This window comes from Homo sapiens, chromosome 5 (assembly GCF_000001405.40).
Source record: "Homo sapiens chromosome 5, GRCh38.p14 Primary Assembly".
NCBI classification, from domain to species: domain Eukaryota; kingdom Metazoa; phylum Chordata; class Mammalia; order Primates; family Hominidae; genus Homo; species Homo sapiens.
In genome coordinates, this window is record NC_000005.10 from 67,219,077 (window position 1) to 67,225,076 (window position 6,000).

The 6,000-nt window shown below is 44.1% G+C and overlaps 2 annotated features.

Moving 5' to 3' along the window:
- Positions 204-391: a silencer, noted in NCBI's record as "fragment chr5:66515108-66515295 (GRCh37/hg19 assembly coordinates)". NCBI's record gives its function as "represses an EF-1alpha promoter that drives an FKBP-Casp9 reporter gene in an ReSE screen in K562 erythroleukemia cells {active_cell/tissue: K562}" and the evidence as "EXISTENCE:reporter gene assay evidence [ECO:0000049][PMID:32094911]".
- Positions 2,992-3,101: an enhancer, noted in NCBI's record as "active region_22626". NCBI's record gives its function as "activates an Ori minimal core promoter by ATAC-STARR-seq in GM12878 lymphoblastoid cells {active_cell/tissue: GM12878}" and the evidence as "EXISTENCE:reporter gene assay evidence [ECO:0000049][PMID:35858748]".

Below are 6,000 nucleotides of genomic sequence, written 5' to 3' on the forward strand. Positions count from 1 at the left end.
TCATATAGCCTGGGCTGGCTCAACAGAAAAACACCTAACAACACCTGGAACCAACAATTCCTCCCCATGGAACCAGGAAGACTGTGACATGACTCAAACCTGAATACTGGAACCCTTTCAAAAGTGAAGGGGACATTGGTTCAGAAGATTTGGGTATAAAATCCACCTCAAAATACTTTACTGTAAATGGTCAAAAATTTTTTTTTTTTTTTGAGGCGGAGTCTCGCTCTCGCCCAGGCTGGAGTGCAGTGGTGCGATCTCGGCTCACTGCAAGCTCCGCCTCCCAGGTTCACGCCATTCTCCTGCCTCAGCCTCCCAAGTAGCTAGGACTACAGGCGCCCGCTACCATGCCCGGCTAATTTTTTTTGTATTTTTAGTAGAGACGGGGTTTCACCATGTTCGCCAGGATGGTCTCGATCTCCTGACCTCGTGATCTGCCCGCCTCGGCCTCCCAAAGTGCTGGGATTACAGGCGTGTAAATGGTCAAATTTGAATCCGTCCAATCAGGCCCTTCTAAGCCAACATTCCGAAATCCTCTCCCTTGCCCTATGACCCCTTAAATCTTGCTCTAGACCCCAGATTGAGGAGGCAGATTTGAGCATCTCCTGTCTCCTTGCTGGCCAGTCTTGCAGTCAAGCCTTTCTTTTCTCAAAAGCTGATGCCACAGTATTGGTTTTTTGCGCATCTGGCGGCGAGCCCCTTTGCTCTATGACACCTCCAGTGTGCCCCAGCCCCAGCTGGTCTGGCTCTCTCAACTCCACTGCCTGTCTGTTTGCACTTCTGGTGAAAGCATGTGGAGGTGGCGAGGGAATACAGGTTATTTACACAGACGATGCCTTTGGATGTTTGGAGATGATGTGTAAAAAAGAAAGAGGATAGTAAATCAGGGTCCTGGGGAGGAGAAAATGTGTGTGTGTTTGGATAAGGCCGACTCAGGCCCTTTCTGGTGTTTCCCAAGGGGAAGGACTTAAATAAAGAATAGGGGACAGAAGAGATGAGAGAGAAAATGACTGATAAACTCATAATTCGATGTGGGAACTAAGAAAGAAGCAGCTTTGGAAAGGAGGAGGAACCTCTGCCTTTGAGGTAGGAAAGAGCAAAGCACAGAAATGGCTCAGGTTGGGGCAACTTTAAGAAGGAGAGGAGAGGGTCAGGTGTGGGGGTTCATGCCTGTAATCCCAAGACTTTGGGAGACTGAAGTGGGAGGATCGCTTGAGGTCAGGAGTTCGAGACCAGCCTGGCCAACATGGCGAAACCCCTTCTCTACTAAAAATAGAAAATTAGTTGGGCGTGGTGGGCACATATAATCCCAGCTACTAGGGAGGTTGAGGCAGGAGAATCACTTGAACCCGGGAGGCAGAGGTTGCAGTGGGCTGAGATCGTCCCATTGCACTCCAGTCTGGGGGATAGAGCGAAACTCTGTCTCAAAAAAAAAAAAAAAAAAAAAAAAAAAGGGAGGGAGGGGATGCAGGAGAAGAGCTGGGATAATGTTCCTTGCTGGGCATGCTAATAAAATGGGGCTTCGGTCAAGGTGACTCAGCACATGTCGGGGGGATTCTGGGGCAGAGCAATAATTTGGTGGTCCTCAACTGGATCTTCTTTATTTGTCCAACAGCCATTTTGTGATGGCAAGGAGATGCCAATTTTCTCTTTAAAACATTGCATACCTATGTTTTACATACACTGAATATAGTATATCACTTAGGTGAAATTGTCTTTCACCTCACATGTTTTCTGTAGTGTTAGGCACTCCCATTTACTACATATGGAGAATGTTACATGGACAGTAACATTTTTTTCAAAAGGTATTTAATGGCTGTTTTGTAAAATCTCACATCCATGAGAGCAAAACATTTTCTTTAGTTCTTTGGTCCACTCTCTCTCTCTCTCTTTTTTTTGAGACCGAGTCTCGCTCTGTCGCCAGGCTGGAGTGCAGTGGTGTGATCTCGGCTTACTGAAACCTCTGCCTCCTGGGTTCAAGTGATTCTTGTGCCTCAGCCTCCCAAGTAGCTGGGATTACAGTCAGGCGCCACCACACCCAGCTATTTTTTTTTTTATTTTTAGTACAGATGGGGTTTCACCATGTTTAGTGAAACACCAGGATGTTCCACCAGGAGATCACCAGGATGGTCTTGATCTCCGGACCTCGTGATCCACCGAGCTTGGCTTCCCAAAGTGCTGGGATTACAGGTGTGAGACACTGTGCCTGGCCATTTTTTTTTTTTTTGAGATTTTTTTTTTTTTTGTCTGAACCAGACAACTTCCTAGGAGACTTATTAGAGTTAATTGCATTGAGATAATAGAGTGAGCAACTGTGACTGGTAAATGAGACTGCAGCTTGCATTGTGCAGTGTCTGTATTTCCTTAGCTCCTCAAGTGTGCCAGGATCACCAGATCTATTCCCAAGATCTGTGATTCTGTCTGCGCTGAACCATCCAAGGTGCTGGCGTCTGCCACAGAGAAAGGTCTTGTCGTGCAGAATGCTTTTAACTTTACACATTGGTAAGAACCAGGAGTGGGCTGCCATTTGGCTGGCGATGTGAAGAGTGTCATGTGGAAAGCTGAAGTCACAGACAACATATTGCAGATTTATTTCCCTGTTGGTTTAGTTCCCCTTTCTGATATATTGGCAGCTGTAGTAGCTGGCCCGCTCCTTCATCTGAATTTGGATGGGGTTTGGGCTCAAAATGGAATTGGTTTGCTGTCAATATTGCTGAGGATGCAAAAGGAGGTCTCTTCAAGGTAAATGAAAGGACCACAAAGCCTCAGACAGGAAGCTGCAGATCTGTGGCAAAGGCAGAGACCAGAATGATTGTCTCAAGAGGCTAGCAGGGTGAGCGTGACTGAAATGACAGGCCTTGCAGGCTCCTGTGGGGCCAGACTTGCGTGTGGACTGATGGTGGCCGGGGGTGGGGGATGGCTGGGAAGGGAAAGAAAGAAAACTAGAAGTATAGAAGTACGGGAAGCTGTAATCAGATTTTGGAATTCTAGTCTCTATTATTGTTGTAGTGAAATCTTTTCAAAGTCTCTTTTTTTAAAGCACAGTTTGGAGGCTGGGTGACTCAAACTTGTAATCTCAGCACCTTCAGAGGGTGAGGCAAGAGGATTTATTGAGGCCAAGAATTTGAGACTAGTCTGGGCAACATAGTGAGACCCCTGGGCCACATACAGAGACCCCATCTCTAACAAAATAAAAAATTAGCTGGCTGTGGTGGTGCAGCTCTAACTACTCAGGAGGCTGAGAGGGGAGGATCACTCTAGCCCAGGAGTTTGAGCTATGACTGTGCCACTGCACTCCAGCCTGGGTGAAGAAAGAAGACTCTGTCTCTAAAAAACAAAAAAGCAAAGTACAGTCCTATAAAATGATAATTTCAAAAACACTTGGTCTATGATATGTGAATTGCTCCGAGGACTATCACCATAAAAGTTTCATGTCACTAAAACACTTCCTGTTTCCAAATTGCCTTTGGTCTGATGTGAACATCCAAATTGTAATACAGTTGTGGCAACCTCCAAAATAATGCATTTCTCACATGATGGAACATGACACATCACTTTACCTTTCATTTTACTTTTTTTATTAATCATAACTGAGTAGCATTGGTCACTTATACCTATTGACGAGAGAGGCAGTCTTTCTGGATATATTTACATCTTATTAAAATCATATAATTAGCATTCGAAGAGGGAGGAGACACATCATGATGATTATGGCCATGGGTTAAGCTCCCTGGGTCTTGGTTTCCTTATTGTAAACTCCGGAGACTGATGGTGGGTGGGCTGGAGAGTTTCTAAAGCACCTTCCCCTTTTTAAATGTCTGAAAACATGACAAAAGCTAAGATGGTGTTTAGGACTGCGTTTGAATGTTTCTGATAAGCAGGCAGGAGCACAAATGTCTCAGGTTGGGATTTGTATTTGCTTGTTTTTTTTGTTAGGAAAATAGGCCATTTGTATCATTACCTCAAAAAACTCTTGTGAACTGCAAGAAGGCAATTATTGTCCATTACATGTTTAAAGCTCCCCGTAGCTGGGATGTACATTTCTAGGCTGAATACAATAGAGCTCTTTAGAGAACACTGGGAGGCCTTATATAATCAGTGTGAACAATATATTTACTCTCATTTTGTGGGATTTAGGATATGGCATTACTACTTTAAGTGATTCTGGAGGCTGTGGGTTTTGCTTCCTTGTTTGCTATGGATTGTGTGATGTTACTGATGTCCAAGATCTAGTGCAAGAACCTATGAATGGCATGTGTCTTCCCTGAAATGATTCCACTCTATGGTCCCCGCAAGAATGGAAACTTTCCCAGGGAACTTTTTAAGGAATGTTTCAGGCCCCGATTTCTGTGGTTTTACTTATTTCCCCTTTTTGAAGCAGTCAGCTTTCAAGCATTGCCCTTCTGCTAGTGATCACTGGCATATTGCTAGCCAACATGGGTGAACCCTGAGAGTAAGAAAACCTTGCCGACTCCAACTGGATACCCCCTTTAATGATCAGAATCCCACACTTTCCAAATCAGCATGTTGATCTAATCCACAGAAATGGTGTGGTAGCCCAATTTTTCTTCTGTCTACTTCCACCTCAGAAACTGAATTGGAATGTGTCTCCTGCTGCTTGCACTTACTGAAGGTCATAAGGAAATAGTTGATGAATTCTGGTTACCTGATATTTATTTACCAGGTCCCCTAAAACCTCATTTCTGGTGCGCAAGTCATCTGAATCCCATAGCACAATATGCTGTCATTTGATCAACCACTTCATTACCGCATATTGTGAATAGCTGGCTTCTCATCCTGCACTAAGAAAGTCCTTAGTGCAGTCCACTTTGAAAATGGGAAATAAGGCTAGGAGCATTGGCTCATGCCTGTAATCCCAGCACTTTGGGAGGCTGAGGTGGGTGATCACCTGAGGTCAGGAGTTCAAGACCAGCCTGGCCAACATGGTGAAGCCGCGTCTCTACTAAAAATAAAAAATTAGCCAGGTGTGGTGGCATGCACCTGTAGTCCCAGCTACTGGGGAGGCTGAGGCAGGAGAATCACCTGAATCCAGGAGGCAGAGGTTGCAGTGAGCCAAGATTGTGCCACTGCACTCCAGCCTGGGCAACAGAGTGACTCTGTATCAAAAAAAAAAAAAAAAAAAAAAAAAAAAAAAAAAAGGGAAAAAAAAAAGAAAATGGGGACTAGAAATCAAACAGAGTTCTCTTTTACTCTGTGGGTCTGAGGTTAGATACCCTGAGAATTTTTGGTACCTAGTGATGTCAAAGTTTAAGTTTTGAAGGTATGGTCTATGAGTGGCAAGTAAACAACAGGATAGGTGTAGTTGTGTGTATATATGTGTGTGTGTGTGTGAGAGAGAGAGAGAGAGAGATTTGGAAAGATAGGGCTATGAAAAGATTTTCTTTTAGCCATTTTGTTGAGTTTCCCTGTAGAAGGCATGGTTTAGAAATCATTGCACTATATTCTGATTGATAGCTTTATTAATCATATATGTGGCTATTGTGGAGGTACATGGCCCTGCATTGTTTTTATACAGCTTCCAGGTAGGGTCTAAGCCAGGAGGAGAGTGACACACTTTCCTCCCAGAGTCTCTCTAACAAGTGTATGGTGCATGATAGAAGTGCCTCACTGTAGCTGGGAAAGCAAGATTATTATTATTATTATTATTATTATACTTTAAGTTTTAGGGTACATGTGCACAACGTGCAGGTTTGTTACATATGTATACATATACCATGTTGGTGTGCTGCACCCATTCACTCGTCATTTAACATTAGGTATATCTCCTAATGTTATCCCTCCCCCATCTCCACACAGGCCCCGGTGTGTGATATTCCCCTTCCTGTGTCCATGTGTTCTCATTGTTCACTTCCCATCTATGAGTGAGAACATGCAGTGTTTGGTTTTTTGTTCTTGCAATAGTTTGCTGAGGATGATGGTTTCCAGCTTCATCCATGTCCCTACAAAAGACAGGAACTCATCATTTTTATGGCTGCATAG